This window comes from Homo sapiens, chromosome 11 (assembly GCF_000001405.40).
Source record: "Homo sapiens chromosome 11, GRCh38.p14 Primary Assembly".
In the NCBI taxonomy this organism is placed as follows: domain Eukaryota; kingdom Metazoa; phylum Chordata; class Mammalia; order Primates; family Hominidae; genus Homo; species Homo sapiens.
Window position 1 is genome coordinate 72,079,926 of NC_000011.10, and position 17,086 is coordinate 72,097,011.

Consider the following 17,086-nt stretch of genomic DNA (forward strand, 5'->3'; position numbering starts at 1 on the left):
ACCCATAAACCCAAAGTAGAGCCAACCTCGCACTGGCTACGTAACCCGGGCCAAGCTAAACATTATAAACCTCAGGCTCCCCATCTTTAAAGTATAACAGGTGGTTAGAAGATTAAAAAGATAAACATTTGGCAGGTCATTGTGGACGGTGTAGCTCAGAAAATGCTGACTACTGCACTACCATAACTACTGCTATTGTTAACGATAAAAGGCAAAGACTTTCCAGGACCCGACCCCTCGCTTACAAGCCTTTCGGGAACTTGCCCTATACCCCCGACCCCAGTCACCTTCAGATTTAATTCCACAGACACGCCCCCAAACAGACCCTCCCCTTTAAGGCACCCCCCCCCCCCCCGGCTCCTCCCTCTCAGGCGCCTCTCCTCACAAACCTTACCCCCATAGATTCTGCCCTTTCGGACTCGGTTATGGAGGAGGCCTTCCGCTCGCAGCGGCCTCTCCAGCACCCCTTTTAGGCCTGAGCACCCGCAGGGGTGCCCAGGCCGCACGCCAAACGCGGGCCCGCGCCGGTTACCTGGCTGCGCGCTCCCGCTCTGCCTCGCGATTCTCCGGAATCGTACCTCTTCGTGGGCTCGCGCCAGCGCTGTGAGCGCACAATTAGTTTAAACTATGGCCCCGCCCCCTCGCGCTGCCCTCTGATTGGCCTCTGTCGGCGGGGCCCGCTTAAGGACCCGGGAAAAGGAAGTTTGAGGGCCACTGGGAAAGAGAAGGGGTATCACCGCTTCCGGACCCCGGCCTGTACTTGAAGGCAAAGAGAACTACAAATCCCAGCGTCACCCGCGGCCTTGAAGCCCCGCCCCTGACAAACTGAAGGTCCCGGTAAGCATCGCGTCAGTACTTATGGCGCCTGCCGGGTTGTGGTGACGAAAGCAGTTGCCATGGAGTTGCTCTGAGTAACCCTGAGGCAGTGGGACGCCAAGACTGGAGAGGAAGCGACTGCGGGTGAGTCGGGCGGGAAAACAGGAAACCCGTTCTAGGGGACAAGAGATCTATGGAGAAGGGAGGGGCACTCACAGAACGACTAAGAACCTTCCTGCTCGGGGATCTGAGATTTCCCCCACCGACCCTCATCACCTTTCACAGCGAACAAGATACAACACTCACATGGGACAGACTGGGCGAGGGGGAGCAGAGGGAGGGATAGGCGTTGAGATATATATCCATACAGATTTGGGGATGCTTAAGAACCACCCCCAGGGCCGGGAGCGGTGGCTCACGCCTGTAATCCCAACACTGGGAGACCAAGGCGGGCGGACCACTTAAGGCCAGGAGTTCGAGACCAGCCTGAGAAACATGGCGAACCCTGTCTCTACCAAAAACATAAAAAAATTAGCCGGGCTTGGTGGCGCGCTCCAGTGGCCCCAGCTACTAGGGAGGCTGAGGTAGAAGGATCGCTTGAGCCCGGAGATTGAAGCTGCAGTGAGCCGTGATCACGCAACTACACTCCAGCCTGGGCTATAGAGCGATACCTCCATCTCAAAACAAAACAAAACGAAACAAAACAAAAACAAAACAAAACAACGAACCCCGCCCCCAACGCAAACATAAAGCTCCCAAAATCGGATGCTTCAAGTTCCAGGCATAACCTGGGAGATCAGAAACGCCCTCAGAAATGGGGTTGGTTTTCCTCTGAGGAACTGAGACCCTCTTCCAAGACATGCGGTTAGCATTAGATTGAGTAAATCGCAGTCGCTACCCTAATTCTAGAGATGTAGGAAACTTCCTGGGGCGTGAAGTGCCTCATTCCTTCTTCTTCCAAGGAGTAAAACCCCTTCTCAATCTGTCCCCAGATTCCCTTTTCTCCCCACACCTTCTCCGTGGTCCGCTACTCAAAGCTCTACAGTTAGAGCTTCATTTTTTTTAGTACTCACGACAGATCTATTACATTTAGTAACCTACCCAGTGCTTTCACAGTCTCTCTTTTGATACTCTTAACAGCTCTGTGAGTCAAGGATATTTATCTTCATTTCACAGATTGGAAAACTGAAACCCAGAGAAAAGGGACTTGCCCAAGGCCACACACCAAATTAGTGACAGAGCTAGAACTAGACTCCAGTTCTCCGACTTCCAGCTAAGTCTCTTTAGCTTCAGCCTACTGCCTCTATAGCGGAAGGACTTGTTCCAAGGAACAAGTTAAACTGCCCCAGGGAAAAGGAACCTGTGTGGCCTACTTTGTATTATTTACACTTCAGCTGGAATGAATTTCAGATCCTCCCCTGAAACTTTTAATGGGGAAAAGGAACTAGAGAGACTAAGACAATGAGACTTGAACATTTTTAACTAAACAGGAAACAGAAGGGCTAACACAGCACCCATGTCTGAAGTGACCATGATTAGCTGGTTTCTAGCTGGTGACTAGCTGGCCCTGACTGGTCCACTTACTACCTTAAAGTTCTCCCAGGTTTGGTCCTACGCCCTCTTGCCACTGCACTCTATATTCTCTTCTTGGGTACCCCTCCACACCCACAACTTCATTTTCCACCTGTATGCAAATGTACACAAGTGTGTATCTCAAGCCCAGCCCTCATCTCTAAGCTCCAGATCTATATAGCCAATTGCCTCAACATCTCCTTTAGGATACCTCAAAGGCAACCCAAACTCTACATTTCTGAAATTGAAACAATCTCTGTGTATCCCAACCTTTTCCTCCAAGCCTGGATCTCTTCCAGTGCTCCTACCTTTATCCACAATATACCCAAGCCCAAAACCCAAGTTAGTACCTCTTCCATTTACTTAATACCTCTTCCATTTCCCATCTATCACTAAGTCTTATCAGCTTTACTTCCTGAATATCTTTTATATAGGTCCTAGCTACCATCACATCCTTCCTGCCTTCCCTCCCAGCCATATTTGCGCACTGCAACCAGAGTGATCCTTCAAAATGCAAAGCTGATACTGTTCACTCTCTACCCCACCCCCAATTTTTTTTTTTTCTTTTTGAGACAGAGTTTCGCTCTTGCTGCCCAGGCTGGAGTGCAATGGCGCAATCTCGGCTCACAGCAACCTCCACCTCCCGGTTTCAAGCAATTCTCCTGTCTCAGCCTCCCAGGTAACTGGGATTACAGGCATGCGCCACCACACCCGGCTAATTTTATATTTTTAGTAGAGACGGGGTTTCTCCATGTTGGTCAGGCTGGTCTCGAACTCCCGACCTCAGGTGATCTGCCCACCTTGGCCTCCCAAAGTGCTGAGATTACAGGCGTGAGCCGCCACGCCCAGCCAGCCCCCATTTAATATTAATACTATGTGGTTTCCTATTGCTCCCATCTCTCCAGCCTCCAGTCTAACCATACATATTCATCCTTCTCTCCCCTTCAGTTATATAACCTTTAAGGTCTTCAAAATTTCCAAGTACCCTTCCACCATAGAACCTTTGCATATAGCAGTCACATCTGCCTGGAATGCTCATTCCACACCACCCCCTACCCCATAAGTTAATTTGTACTTATCCTTTAGATTTCTCTCAGTCACTTCTTCAGGAATGTCTTCCTGTAGACTGTTCAGACCAGGTCAGATCCCTCAATTACAGCAACCTCATGGCCCTCTCCTTTGTAGTATTATTTAGTTGCAATTTTTAATGTGTTTGTTAAGCACCTACTACTTGCCGGCACTATGAGATACAACTGTAAGAAAAAATATGGTTTCTGCCCTGCTGGTGTTTATGGACATACAGATAGTAAGCAGATAATTACAGTGTTACGAGTGCTACCATGGCAATCATAGCACTACAATTACAGATTTGAGGATAAAGGTAGACTTCTCAGAAAAGTTGAAACCTGATCTGAGCCCTGAAATAAGAATTAGCAAAGCAAAAGGAGGAGAGAAAAACTATATTCCAAGCAGACAGAGCTGGAAGGAGACACTGTTCCACTTAGAGGCCCAGTGGCAGGTGCAGGGAACTTATGGTGAGTGGTTGCATTTGGCTAGACTGCAGAATTGGAGTTGAGGATGAGATGGTAGTAGAGGGGGGTGGACAGGAGCCAGGTTGAATCTTGGTCCTCCTTTTGGCACCTGGGAATATAACCTCCCAGAATATATTAGATTATGTGGCAGATTTTTCTTCTTTTTCTTTTGACAGGGTCTCGCTCTGTTGCCCAGACTGGAGTGCAGTGGCACAGTCATAGCTCACTGCAGCCTCGAACTCCTGGGCTTGAGCCATACTCCTACCTCAGCTTCCCAAGTAGCTGGGACTATAGGCGTGAGCTGCCATGCCTGGCTAAATATGTGGCAGATTTTTCATAGCAGCCTTTGATTTTTTTTCCACCATCAGTCCATCATCAGAAACTCTCGGGCCAGGCTGTTGAATCTCCTATCAGATTTATGTGATTATTCCTCAAAGCTTCCTGTGTTATCATGTTGCAACTTGCCTGAGAGAGGGCAGGAATAGGCTAGCAACAAATCAAATTCCAAATGTTAGTAATTTCCCAAAACTGAAAACAGTTTTCTGTCAACTTGGGATTGGTTAAATAAATTAAGTGAATAACATTAAAGTACGATACATAGTATAAAATACTTTGCAACTATTAAAAAGGGTAATAGTCTACAACAATTTGAAAATTAAAAAATAGGTTTACAAAGGAATATTGTTTATTTAAAAATATACATAATCTAGGCTGGGCACAGTGGCTTACACCTGTAATCCCAGCACTTTGGGAGGCCAAGGTGAGTGAATAGCTTGAGCCCAGGAGTTTGAGACCAGCCTAAGCAACATGGCAAAACTGTGTCTCTACAAAAAATACAAAAATTAGCAGGGTGTGGTGACGTGTGCCTGTAGTCCCAGCTACTCAGGAAGCTAAGGTGGTGGGATTGCCTCAGCCCAGGAGGCAGAGGTTGCAGTGAGCTGAGGTAGCACCATTGCACTCCAGCCTGCACAACAGAGCGAGACCTTGTCTCAAAAAAAAAAAAAAAAAAGAAAACCGTGTGTGTGTGTGTGTGTGTGTGTGTGTGTGTGTGTGTGTGTGTAAAACCTTATTAGCTATACATTCTAGGTTATATTCCCAAACTGTTAATGGAGATTCAAACTTTGAGTTTCTATTTGATGTACTTCTTGTCATTTCACTTTATTCATCTATCATATTAGCTTTTACAGTTAAAAAACAAAACAGTTAAAGATACTGTCAATTTGGAAATGAGAAATTCCAGTTCCGAAACAAGGCAGGTATGCCCCTAACCCTGTCATTCATCAAGTTAGTCAGTCTGGACAGATGAAGGTGCTGGCATCTGATTACCTCCTGGTCATAAGCCAGAATAGCAGATGGGAAAGACTGACTCCAAAAACACAGCCACAGGAGTAAGCATGGCAGCATCAACACTTTGTCAGTTCTCCCCAGCAGTCAAGCTCTCTATGTGACACCTTGAAGACTCCATTAATTCCTTCATTTCTTCTTTCATTTTTCCATTGTCCATCCATTTTCATTTGTCCATCAAACCTTTAGTGAATATGGATTTTTTTTTTTTTTTTGGCCAGGCTCAATGCAGGGTAATGATGAGAAGGGAGAAAGAAGTCTGAGTCTTGTCCCTGTCCTCAAGCTTATAGGGAGTAAACAAAGTTGGTTATAATGAAATTAACAGAGAATACAACTGCTTCCATTTATTGAGCACCTGATGCCAGATGTACAATAGTTCTCAAGGTAGGGTTTGTCTCCATTTCACAGATGAGTAAACAAGCTGTAATAAAATTTTGTTTGAAGTACAGTGGGGGCATGCAGAAGTTAGCTATTGCCGTGTAATAAACCATCCCAAAACACAGTGGCTTAAGATAATAAACATTTATTATTGCTTCTAAGTCTTAGAGTCAGCTGGAGGGTTCTTCTGCTTTGGCTGGGCTTACTCATGTGTCGGCAGTCATCTGTGGGTTGGGTGACTCTCCTGATCTTGACTGGGGGTAGGCTGACTGTGGGCTAGTCTAGGATGGCTTCAGCTGGTATCTCTGGCTCTTTTGCATGTCTCTCACCTACACATCTCATAACCCTCCAGCTGATCAGCCATGTTCTCATGGCACTGGCAAAGAGCAAGAGGGCAGGCCTCCTTTAAAGCTTCTGTTTGCTTCATGTTTATCGACATCTCATTGGCTAAAACAAGTCACATGTCTGGTCCCAGCATCAGAGTGAGATGGGACTACAATGTTATAGGCAAAAAGAGATGGATACAGGGGAGACCATGAATAGGGATCATCAAAACAATCAGCCTAACACAGGACACATTAACCAATTTTATCTGGAAAAGAAAGGCTTTATAGAAGAGGCTACACTAGAACTGAGTGTTGAAACATGAGAGAGTATTCACTAAGTGGGCAGCTGTTACTTGGAACTGGATGCAGGCTGGTTTACCACAATCAATAGAAACTCAGCAGGTCTTTCTGTGCTCATGACAGGGTTCTATTATTTGTATCTTGGCTTCATTTCTTCTGGTCAGGCACAGAGCAGCAAGCACTCAACAAATGTTTGCTGAATTGAATTGAATATCTTACTGTGAACAAGGTGTGGACTGAAACAGCTGAACCTGGGAACCAATTGTTAGAAAGAACAGCTTAGCATCAACTCTTCTGAAACAGAAATCCTCAGAATTGGCAGTTTCTCATTCATTCATCCCACAAACATTTTGAGTGCCTGTTGTAAACCTGGTTCTATGTTGGATAATGAATAAGATGCGATACTAGCTCACAGCCTGGGCTACAGCTTAAATGCAGAAGGCTAAAAATTTAACCAGCTTCTTGGGGCTCCATTTTTAATACTAATCCATTCAGAAAATGCAACAGGAGCTGGTGCTACACAAAATCAGAAGTCTTTAGGAACTGCACTGGGTTGCTCTGTCAAGAAAACTAACAGTAAAAATCTGCCCTTAAGTATTTTAAGTTAAAATCCATGTTCAGTGGTGCATAACTCTGGGGTACCAACCCAGTATTTACTTTGAGAAAAGTATCCAATCTTGCTCAAAGGTATCAAATCTGCTGTAGGTGCTGAAGTGGGATGAGCTTCTATCTAAGCTAGGTTCCTCTAGTTCTGTAGTAGACAGCCAGGTTCCTCTATTTTTACAAAAGAATAATGTGTTCTTTGTTGTCTGCCTGTAGATTTAATATCTAAAAGATTCAAGTCTCCCTAATTGACAATCCATGCCCATGGGACCAGTTCATAACAGAATTAAGCTGTGAAGTGACTCAATCTGTCACCTCCCCAAAGCTCAGCTGGTACTGCTATTTTTTCAGAACAAGACATTCATTTTCCTCTAAACCTACTAAACTTGATCCATGTATATGTTAAATTGCCAAAAAAGGAATTTACATGAACTGTATTAGGCTTAAACTGAATTATAAGATATCAGGTCCTTGGTTTTTAACAGAAATTCTTTTTTTTTTTTTTTTTTTTTTTTTTTTCCTGAGACAGGGTCTACAGGGTCTTGCTCTGTCGCCCAGGCTGGAGTGCAGTGGCACAATTATAGCTCACTGCAACCTCCAACTTCTAGGCTCAAGCAATCCAACTGCCTCAGCCTCCCGAGTAATAAATTCCATTTTAAAGTTGTTTGCCAATTTCATTGTCTCTGCAAACTAATTTATCCTTTGAATCCAATGATGAGAACTGCAATCCCAAGGTTTCTCTTTTTGCTTTGGCTGCCAGGAATTTCAGAGCTAAATGTAGGCTTAGATTCTTAAAGTGCCTGGCACATCTCTCTCTTCCTGTAATCTAGTTTCTGATCTTTCTCTTCCATTTTTAACTTTCTAATCTGCACTGTCCAGTATGGTAGCCACTAGTCACGTACATTTGACAGGTAGGCTAGTCCAAATTGGGATGTGCTGTAAGTGTAAAATATCTCAGTAAGTTTTAATATTGATTACATATTGAATGATTTTTTGATATATTGGGTAAAATTAAGTTATTAAAATTAATTTCACCACTTCATTTTACTTATTTTGGCTACTAGAAAATTTTAAATTATATATATGGCTTGCATTTGTGACATTATATTTCTAGTGGATGGCACTATTCTGCAAATCATCTGTTTTATGACTGTGTTATTATTGTAAACCTGAAATCCTTTTGGAAAGCAGGTGAAGTAATACAAATAATAATACAAAGGTGGCAGCAGTGGATGGAATGAGAAAGGGGAGGTCGACTGGGGCAAGTTCTTGTCCTTATCCTTGTCAATTTGTCTTTTGCTTGTGTGATTCACATACAAACCCCTTGGTAAAGTGTGTTGTCAGCTCTCTTCATCCCAGGTGAGTAGTATTCTCATGGCTCTCCCTTGTCTCCAGAAAAACCTCAGCTTTACTTTAGCTAACAAATTGGAAACGATCTGATAAGACAATTCACACCACATTGCAAGTGACTGATAACAACATTGTGTTCATCCCTGTCAGGGAGTATTTCCATTTTAACCGGAAACAATCCCTGAACCCACAGGAATGAATGCCTAATGGTGGAGTTTCAGCCATCAGTGACAGGTGAGTGAGAGGTAGACTCTGGTTTTGTGTGTGTGTATGTTTATATGTGTATGGCTACATTCAGGATAGGGCTGAAAGTAGGGTATTTGGATGGAAAGGTAATGGGGCTGGCAGAGAAGCCAAGCGGAGAAGGTGGCAAATCCCCAGCTGGGCCAGACTGAGAGGGGTGGTGAGACACCAACCAGATGCGGTGCAGGCCCTCAAGGATTTGTTAAGCAATAGAATAGCCCAGTTGATGTCAACAGAGGGTGGGTATCAAGACAGTCTCCACAGTAACTACTGTAGAGTAACAGAAAAGGTCTCAGAGTAGGATTCAGGAGATTATGACTGCAGTCTACAACTGACTCACTGGCTTAACTCTGGGCAAGTCCTTTTACCCCTTGGGTTTCAGTTTCTTCATCTGGCATTTTCCAGACAAAGAAATGGGTGTTCGATTCTCAAATGAGTTCTAAGAGATGTGAAGGTGCTCTGAGAAGTAGAAAGTGCTCTATACATGCAAGGATGCAAGGAAGAGTGATTTCATATCTTAAAATGGAAATACAGCCAGGCAGGCCTAGAGTAGTAGAGGACAGAAAGCAGGGATGGAGGACTATGGGGAAACCTGAAAGCCGGTGTACTTGAAACACTGGTCTTTCTCTGTCCTCCCAGGCTGAACCCAGACTCCCAGGGCACCTGCTTGCACCTTTGAATGATGGCCTGAACTATGAACAAACGGGACTATATGAACACTTCGGTACAGGAGCCCCCTCTTGACTACTCCTTCAGAAGCATCCACGTCATTCAAGGTCAGCCCCCAGAGCACAGTACTCCACTCACTAAGGCAGCAGGCCCAGTGTGGTCCCTAGGAAGAAACCATAATCTACTTAAAAGCCTAAAGAGATTCTTCCCATATGCTTGCAGATGTGTTGTTACTGTCTTTTGGAGGGTAGGGGAGAGTGAGAGGTTTTTTTCTGTCTTTTTGTTTGTTTTGATTTTGCCCCGATACAGCCCCAGGAGATCCTAAGAACATGTGCCCCTGTTTGTTTTTTTTAAGCAGCAAATCTGAAAGGAAACAGGGGGCTATCACAGTAGTTGATCATCTTTAAAAGAAGCCAGGCTACAGCAGGAAAGTCAAGTGGAAGAAAACTGGGAAGCCAGTCTATCAGCCAATAGTTTTATTCTCCTGTTTTTACCTGAAGAGAGGAGGAAAACACAGGCTCCTGTGGAGTCCCAGCAAGTAGGCAAAACCTTTCTCCTCTGTCTGCAGACACAAGCCTAATCTGACTGGCCAAACATGAGGGGTCTTATCTACAAACTGGCATATTTCCAGTTTAAATACTTACTGACAAATTTCTTACACTCATTCCAGCCAAATCCAAGTTTATTCCATCATCACCTACACTTATTGCAGGTTCCAACACTGTCCACACTCGCTCCCATTTTGCCATTCAATGTCTTTGTAAATGGGTAGCTAGTCCCTTCAGGAGGGAACATAGGGAGGCTGTCAGCCATGTCATATTCCCAATGAGTCATCCGTTCTTCCTAGGGAAGTTCTGCCATCCCTGGCTTTTGTTATCTGGTCTTTCATTAAAGCATCAGTCCATCTGTCCTCACAGAATACACGTTAACATCCACTATCTCAGAACTATTATTTGGCTTTAGTCTTCTCTCAGGCAACTGGTAGCCACTGCCTTTAAGCTCGGGAAGCTGGCAAATAGCACCAGTCTTAGATTGGGTTTAGGGTCTACTTGGGTTATCATCAGCCACAGTGGTAACTCACGTTTGTTCTCTCACGAGCACACAGCCACCTGCTGTGATCTTTATTGTGCACTGCATCACTTCTGATGTAATCCATGTTTCACAAGGGGTTTTAGCTGCAATAGTAACTATCTCTAAGACAGGTGCAATGACAGAGGTGGGAAGGAAGTATACCTCCTACCTATCATGGGAATTTCTAACTCTGATGGAGGAGGTGTAGCTCTGCCCTCTATGGAGTCCTCAGAATTGGGAGAGAGACAAGCAGTACCAAGGGTAACTCTACATCACAAAACGTAAATGGTACAGATGGCCCATCCTTCATTCAACCGTTCAATATTTACTGAGCACTTACTAAAAGCATTTATATATGTGTGTGTGTGTGTGCGTCATATGTATATGCCAGGTATTGTGCTCCTTGCTAGGTATGTGAGGCACATCAAAGGCCCAAAAGGTCAGAGTCCCTTCAGATTCCCCAGAGCTTCTGAAACACTTATTTACAGCTGGGGTTAAGGGATACAATAGAGTTTGGGGGTACCTGGCACACTATTTGGTGAATGAATAAATATTACAGAATCTGAAACGGCAGTGCCTTTGGAAGGCATCTAATCTGTGCTACCATCAACCCAGTTCCTCTAACTTTTCACAAACCTAGAGTGTTAAGGAAGTCCCCCACCATATACACCTACCAACACCTTCCAGTTGGTGGTTGAGGGATGACACAGGGAAGTTCAATCAAACTAACTTGTATTCTGACACATGGCAAGAGCTACATGGCAGCCTTTCAGAGAGAGGAAAACAGGAACATAGTTTCCCAGATCTTCCTGGAGCTAAATGCTCCCCAGTTCCCAAAGCATTGATATTTGTGGTCCAGCTTCCAGACCTGCTTTGGCCTACTCTGAACAAGGAACTTTACAGATTCTTAGGCAGTGTAGTGCATTGGTGGAATCTGAGAGGAGCAGCAACCTGTGGCAGCCTGGATATACCACTCCATCCTTGGTAAGAGCAGCTCCAGCCAGCATCAAGTTTTAGGCAACTCTGTCCCACCAGTGATTCCCTCTGAGCTTGGCCTCCACCCCATGCTTGGTGGCATTCCCCAAGCTGCTACCTTATCACATGGGGCACTAGTTCATGTGGGGTTATTTTGACCTTAATTTTGATTCATCTGTGTCATTCTGTTTCAGGGTTCTAAGGAGGTATGGGGAGGGAAGCAGGATTAGGAATTCATGAGCTGGGGTACGCCGTTCCAGTACCCTCCTGCAACCCCAGGCCCCAATTGTGGGTCCTGCTCACTCTAGGATTAAGGCAGAGAGCCATCTGGTGGATGTTGCCTGACCTGCATCTGAGGAGGAGGAGAGGTGGGGGTGGAAGGGCAAAGGGTGTCCTTCCAGTAGAGAGCAGAAGAGAGTGAAGAAAGCTGGCTAGCTTCCGCAAATACTAAATACTTCCTTCCCCAGGGGTGAACTAGGGAACCAAAGGCTTAGCAGCAATGGGAACTGGACCTCATTTTGAAAAAGTGGGAGTGAGGCTTTGGGGTGTTCCATACACCGGGGTTCTAACATAATCCTATTCCCTATTCTCTCTCCTCCTCAGCCAAACTTTCTGAGGATGTTGTTTATGCTAACTGCTTATATCCATTCACTCTTTTTTTGGTAGAGACGGGGTTTCATGATGTTGCCCAGGCTGGTCTCAAACGCCTAGGCTCAAGCAATCCTCCTGTCTTGGCCTCCCAAAGTGCTGGGATTACAGGCATGAAACCAGCCTCCATTCACTCTTGAACTCACTCACTTCAATCTGGCTTCTGCCTCCAGGCCCTTGCCATTCCACTGAAGCAGCCCTTACCAAGGTTACCAGGGACTTCTAAGTTGCCAAAATTACTTTTCAGTCCTTACCTCCCTGGAACTTACTACTATAAACTATTTACTCCCTGAACATCTTTAAACTGTCCTCTCCTGATTTTCCCTGATCATTTAACTTCTCTAATGGATTCTTCTTCCTCCCTGACCTTCCTCCCTACCCTCACTCTCCCTGAGGAATCTCATCTCTTTCCCTAACTTGTATGCCTTCTATGCTAATGATTCTCAAGTCTGTGTCTCCTGAGCTTCCGACCTTCATCTCCAACTGCCTACTTGACTTCTCCACCTTTTTGTACAGGAACCTCAAATACACCAAAGCTAAGCCTGAACTCATCACATTCCCAATGCTATTTCTTCTTCTGTAATTCCTTACCAGTTAATACAACTGGCAACCACCCTTTAATATTCTTCTACCTTTACATCCAGTCAACCAAATTATGTTGATTGTAGGGCCCTCTCATGTCTTGCTTGGATGACTCAAACAGCCAAATTGGTCATTTGGTCCAACTCACTCCCTAAAATCCATATTCCACACTGACACTTAAGAGTGATCTTTCTGAAATAAAAGATTTGAATCATTTGCTTTAAACACTCCAGTGCCTTCCCATTACACACAGGGTAAAGCCCAAGATCCTTAGCCTGACATTTGAGACTTTTGACTGGATTCCTGCCTCCTTTTCCTCTCTGTCCCCCTTGTGCAGTGCGTGCAAGCACTTGTGCAGGCACACAAACCCGCCCCAGACTCCCTGGCTGTTCTGTACCTCTATACCTTTCTTCATGCTGTTCCCTGCCTGTTTACCCTTCTTTGCCTGATAAACATCCCCTAATCCATGGAGATTCAGCTCAGGCTTCACCTTCCCTGGGAAACTTCCCTGAGCTCCCATACTGGGTCAATAGCCTCTCTTCTGTGCTGCTACAACTATTATATAGCACTTATCACACCATGTTGCCAGCTTGCTCCCATCTTGCCCATATAAGCTCCTCCAAGGCACAAATGTCTGCTCTCTGCCCTATTATTCATACAAAGTCTGGAACAGACTGTCTCTCATTTTGTTTATCACTGTATATCCAGTACCTGGCATACTGTAGGTACTCAACATTCATGGAAAGAGAGACAGGATATCAAAGTGTATTCCACTGAAGTGAATTCTATAGGCTTTACCAGTAGTTAATTCAGGATTTTGTGCTATCATCTACTCAGCTCAAGCCCAACAATTCTGGTTCTTAGTTTTCCTCAACCCCACACTGGTTTGGTATAAAAAAGACCCAGTGGTACAGTGGACATGAGAAGTCCATGTGACCTGGAAAGCCAAGAGCTTGAGATAGAAGTCTCTGGCCCTTAGTCTAAACTTACTGATTGCTGGAAGCTGTGGGACAGGGTTGCACTAGACTCAGGCACAGGGCTATGGCCCTTCCAGACCCTCCAGCTACAGCCTGGATGGCTAATCTTTCCAGCTCTGTCCCTTCCCACCCCCTAAAGCCAAAAAAGCAAAGATGATACCCAAGTCTCACTTTGTCCCCACAGATCTGGTAAATGAGGAGCCAAGGACAGGACTACGACCACTGAAGCGTTCAAAGTCGGGGAAATCACTGACCCAGTCCCTGTGGCTGAATAACAATGTTCTCAATGATCTGAGAGACTTCAACCAGGTGGCTTCACAGCTGTTGGAGCACCCAGAGAACCTGGCCTGGATCGACCTGTCCTTTAATGACCTGACTTCCATTGACCCTGTGAGTTCCTAACAGTAGGAATCCAGTCAGGGGAGCCTGAAGCCACTTTGTTCAGCCCCCAACCTCTCCACTCCTACATGTTATCAAGGAAGTAATGAGGCAGCATGGTACAGTCCAAAGCACAAGGCTAGGGGGCCAGACAGATAGATGTAGGTTCAAATCCTGGGTTTGCCTCTTACTGACTGTGACTTTGAGCAAGCTACCTAACCTCTCAAAACTGCAGCCTCCCTGTCGGAAAAATGGGGATAATATGCCAGTATCATAAAGGTTTTGTGAGGATTGAATGAAAATACATGAAAACCACCGGGCACAGCGGCTCACGCCTGTAATCCCAGCACTTTGGGAGGCCGAGGTGGGTGGATCACAAGGTCAAGAGAGATCAAGACCATCCTGGCCAACATGGTGAAACCCCGCCTCTACTAAAAATACAAAAAATTAGCTGGGCGTGGTGGCGGGCGCCTGTAGTCCCAGCTACTCGGGAGGCTGAGGCAGGAGAATCACTTGAACCCAGGAGGCAGAGGTTGCAGTGAGCCGAGATTGCGCCACTGTACTCCAGCCTGGCAACAGAGTGAGACTCCGTCTCAAAAAAAAAAAAAAAGAAAAGAAAATACATGAAAACCAACAAACAACTGGTACATCAGAGGCTGAAGTAAAATTCTAACTGTCACTGCGCACCCACTGTGACCTGTGCTGGGTTCTCCTGTGGAAGAGGTAGTCAATAAAGTACAGCACTTACTTTCTGTGAACTCAGATTCAAGTTTTAAGAAATAAAGTTTGGCCTTTTCTAGTCCAAGATCCCTAAGAGGGGAAAGGAGCTGGAGCATGACTTGGACACTATTCCCCTGGTGTGGTGATCTCAATTTAACCAGTATTTTAAAAGCTTCTTATGTGCCTAGCATGATGCTCTGTCTTCCTGTTGCTTGCTGTGATAGAATCGTAGATCACCAAAGCTGGAAAGGTCTTCAGTGAAGGGGCAACTAAGGCTGAGAGAGGCAAGTCAGTGGCAGTGCTGGTACCCAGGCCCACACTCCTGACCCTCAGATCACAGCTCCTTTTCAGTGTGATGCCCTGTATGTCTTAAAACATAAATAAAAGTAGGTTACAGTCATACAGTATGGCTGTGGAGGGTTGGAGTGGAGGGCAGGTTGTTCCCCACATTCTTCCTTCTCTGCCCACGAGTCAGCCCTGAGCAGAGATTCAGGGTCCTGTCCTGTCTAGCCTGGCTTTTGGTTTCCCTCCCCAACAGGTCCTAACAACTTTCTTCAACCTGAGTGTCCTCTATCTTCACGGCAACAGCATCCAGCGCCTGGGGGAGGTGAATAAGCTGGCTGTCCTTCCTCGGCTCCGTAGCCTGACACTCCATGGGAACCCCATGGAGGAAGAGAAAGGGTATAGGTAAGTGCCCTGCCCCTGGAGGTAGCGTCTAGCTGGGCTCCCCTAAAGGAAAGGAGGAGGAGAAACAAGAAATCTACGACCATTCTTCTGCCATGCTTGGACCTGGGAAGGGAGTAACAGACCTCTAAGCATTCCTTGCTCTCAGTCAGGATAAACCTAATCTTTCCCAAACTATGCTCAAGTCCCTCCATTCCTTGCAGTCAGGGAAGACAACAGCAACTAGTGGAGGGGGAAGGGGATTCTGGTGGGGGTGCTGGCCCCCAGCCTAAGTCTTCCCCACAGGCAATATGTGCTGTGCACCCTGTCCCGTATCACCACGTTCGACTTCAGTGGGGTCACCAAAGCAGACCGCACCACAGCTGAAGTCTGGAAACGCATGAACATCAAGCCCAAGAAGGCCTGGACCAAGCAGAATACACTTTGAGGCTCCCACGACCCTAGTAGTCCTAAAGGCCTAAGCATAGACAGCATGGTTTGACAATAAATAATTTGAGCTGTTGAGCAGATGAGAAGTCACTTACACCTTGTAGAGATGTTCTCTAACTCAGGCAACTGCAAGTAGCTCTAGCCTTTTCTTTTCTTTTTTTTTTTTTTGAGACGGAGTCTCACTCTGTCACACAGGCTGGAGTGCAGTGGCACGATCTTGGCTCACTGCAACCTCAGCCTCCCAGGTTCAAGAGATTCTCCTGCCTCAGCCTCCCCAGTAGCTGTGATTAAAGGCGCCTGCCACCATGACTGGCTAATTTTGTTGTTGTTGTTGTTGTTTTGAGACGGTTTCACTCGTCACCCCAGCTGGAGTGCAGTGGTGCGATCTCAGCTCACTGCAACCTCCGCCTGCTGGGTTCAAGCGATTCTCCTGCCTCAGCCTCCTGAGTAGCTGGGATTACAGGCGCCTGCTACCACATCCAGCTAATTTTTTTTTTTGAGACGGAGTCTCGCTCTGTCACCCAGGCTGGAGTGCAGTGGCACGATCTCGGCTCACTGCAAACTCCGCCTTCCAGGTTCACGCCATTCTCCTGCCTCAGCCTCCCAAGTAGCTGGGACTATAGGCACCTACTACCACGCCTGGCTAATTTTTTGTATTTTTAGTAGAGACGGGGTTTCACCATGTTAGCCAGGATGGTCTCCATCTCCTGACCTTGTGATCCACCCACCTCGGCTTCCCCCAGCTAATTTTTTATATTTTAGTAGAGACAAGGTTTCGCCATGTTGGCCAGGCTGGTCTTGAACTCCTGACCTCAGGTGATCCGTCTGCTTTGGCCTCCCAAAGTGCTGGGATTAGAAGCGTGAGCCACCACGCCCAGCCTTTTTTTGTATTTTTAGTAGAGATGGGGTTTCGCCATGTTGGCCAGGCTGGTCTCAAACTCCTGACCTCAGGTGATCTGCCCACCTCAGCCTCCCAAAGTGCTAGGATTACAGGATAAGCCACTGCACCTGGCCAGCTCTAGTCTTATTTTGCTGAAAAAGGGAGGCAATTGAGGGAAAGGCCTGCTGGCCTGGGACACTGGAGACGTGGGTTTACCACACAGCCTTGGGAAATTTATCTAACTCTCTGGGCCCCTTTGTACTTTTCAGCTTAGAGATTTGGGGGTTAAAGTAGATCAGTAATTTCCAAACTCTTCACAGAGTACCAGGGTCTGTAGAGATGCCTCACAGGCCTCCATGACAGGCCAAGAAGATGGCCTATGATCTCTGAAACCAGCCCCCACTTCAATCAGATCAAAGTAATTCCATTCTGTTTTATATGCTGGGATTCTGCTTAAGATTTCATTTGATAAAAAGAATCTTCTGCTTAAAAACATTTGCTTGCTGACTCCATATTAGGTATTCCCAGAAGAGCCTGGTCTGCTTTCTCTCTCCACCCCCCAACCCGCCATGTCTCCCTTCACCCCCAGGGGCTGTTGGTAATTCCATT

At 46.1% G+C, this 17,086-nt stretch overlaps 3 protein-coding genes across 40 annotated transcripts in view, besides 4 other annotated features; 2 read left to right on the forward strand and 1 right to left on the reverse strand.

Annotated features, from left to right (window-relative positions):
• The window catches only part of NUMA1 (nuclear mitotic apparatus protein 1), a 77,679-nt gene extending 77,062 nt beyond the window's left edge, over positions 1–617 (reverse strand). For 17 of the 30 annotated variants that reach the window (XM_047427023.1, XM_047427003.1, XM_047427016.1 and 14 more), the window contains exon 1: positions 533–617. The gene's annotated coding sequence lies outside the window, so the exon portion shown is untranslated. Of the gene's footprint in view, positions 1–394 lie in introns of all 30 variants that reach the window. The other 13 variants (NR_104476.2, XM_047427018.1, XM_047426998.1 and 10 more) reach the window with 1 other exon arrangement.
• Positions 28–983: an enhancer, noted in NCBI's record as "H3K27ac-H3K4me1 hESC enhancer chr11:71790999-71791954 (GRCh37/hg19 assembly coordinates)". NCBI's record gives its function as "activates a minimal SCP1, AML or CMV promoter by ChIP-STARR-seq in primed H9 embryonic stem cells {active_cell/tissue: H9 hESC(primed)}" and the evidence as "EXISTENCE:reporter gene assay evidence [ECO:0000049][PMID:30033119]".
• Positions 703–972: an enhancer, noted in NCBI's record as "active region_5179". NCBI's record gives its function as "activates an Ori minimal core promoter by ATAC-STARR-seq in GM12878 lymphoblastoid cells {active_cell/tissue: GM12878}" and the evidence as "EXISTENCE:reporter gene assay evidence [ECO:0000049][PMID:35858748]".
• LRRC51 (leucine rich repeat containing 51) lies at positions 925–16,970 on the forward strand. Of its 7 annotated transcripts, NR_026886.4 has the most exons (7): positions 925–960; positions 8,372–8,455; positions 9,104–9,240; positions 9,492–9,671; positions 13,571–13,776; positions 15,023–15,171; positions 15,454–16,970. NR_026886.4 is itself a non-coding variant. In NM_145309.6 (6 exons), the coding sequence occupies exons 3-6, from the start codon at positions 9,159–9,161 to the stop codon at positions 15,593–15,595; spliced, it is 579 nt and encodes a 192-aa protein (NP_660352.1). In that variant the 5' UTR covers positions 925–960; positions 8,372–8,455; positions 9,104–9,158; the 3' UTR covers positions 15,596–16,970. The 7 variants fall into 7 exon arrangements, 5 of the variants coding, with proteins under 5 accessions (NP_660352.1, NP_001138779.1, NP_001305732.1 ...); NM_145309.6 differs by lacking the exon at positions 9,492–9,671; NM_001145307.5 differs by lacking the exon at positions 9,492–9,671 and having other exon boundaries at positions 16,798–16,970.
• The window catches only part of LRTOMT (leucine rich transmembrane and O-methyltransferase domain containing), a 29,933-nt gene continuing 13,771 nt past the window's right edge, over positions 925–17,086 (forward strand). For 2 of the 3 annotated variants that reach the window (NM_001145309.4, NM_001145310.4), the window contains exons 1-5: positions 925–960; positions 8,372–8,455; positions 9,104–9,240; positions 13,571–13,776; positions 15,023–15,171. In NM_001145309.4, the coding sequence (NP_001138781.1) occupies positions 15,138–15,171 (34 nt within the window). In that variant the 5' untranslated portion in view covers positions 925–960; positions 8,372–8,455; positions 9,104–9,240; positions 13,571–13,776; positions 15,023–15,137. The remainder of the gene's footprint in view (positions 961–8,371; positions 8,456–9,103; positions 9,241–13,570; positions 13,777–15,022; positions 15,172–17,086) is intronic. The other variant, NM_001145308.5, reaches the window with a different exon arrangement.
• Positions 984–1,938: an enhancer, noted in NCBI's record as "H3K27ac-H3K4me1 hESC enhancer chr11:71791955-71792909 (GRCh37/hg19 assembly coordinates)". NCBI's record gives its function as "activates a minimal SCP1, AML or CMV promoter by ChIP-STARR-seq in naive and primed H9 embryonic stem cells {active_cell/tissue: H9 hESC(naive and primed)}" and the evidence as "EXISTENCE:reporter gene assay evidence [ECO:0000049][PMID:30033119]".
• Positions 11,274–11,433: an enhancer, noted in NCBI's record as "active region_5180". NCBI's record gives its function as "activates an Ori minimal core promoter by ATAC-STARR-seq in GM12878 lymphoblastoid cells {active_cell/tissue: GM12878}" and the evidence as "EXISTENCE:reporter gene assay evidence [ECO:0000049][PMID:35858748]".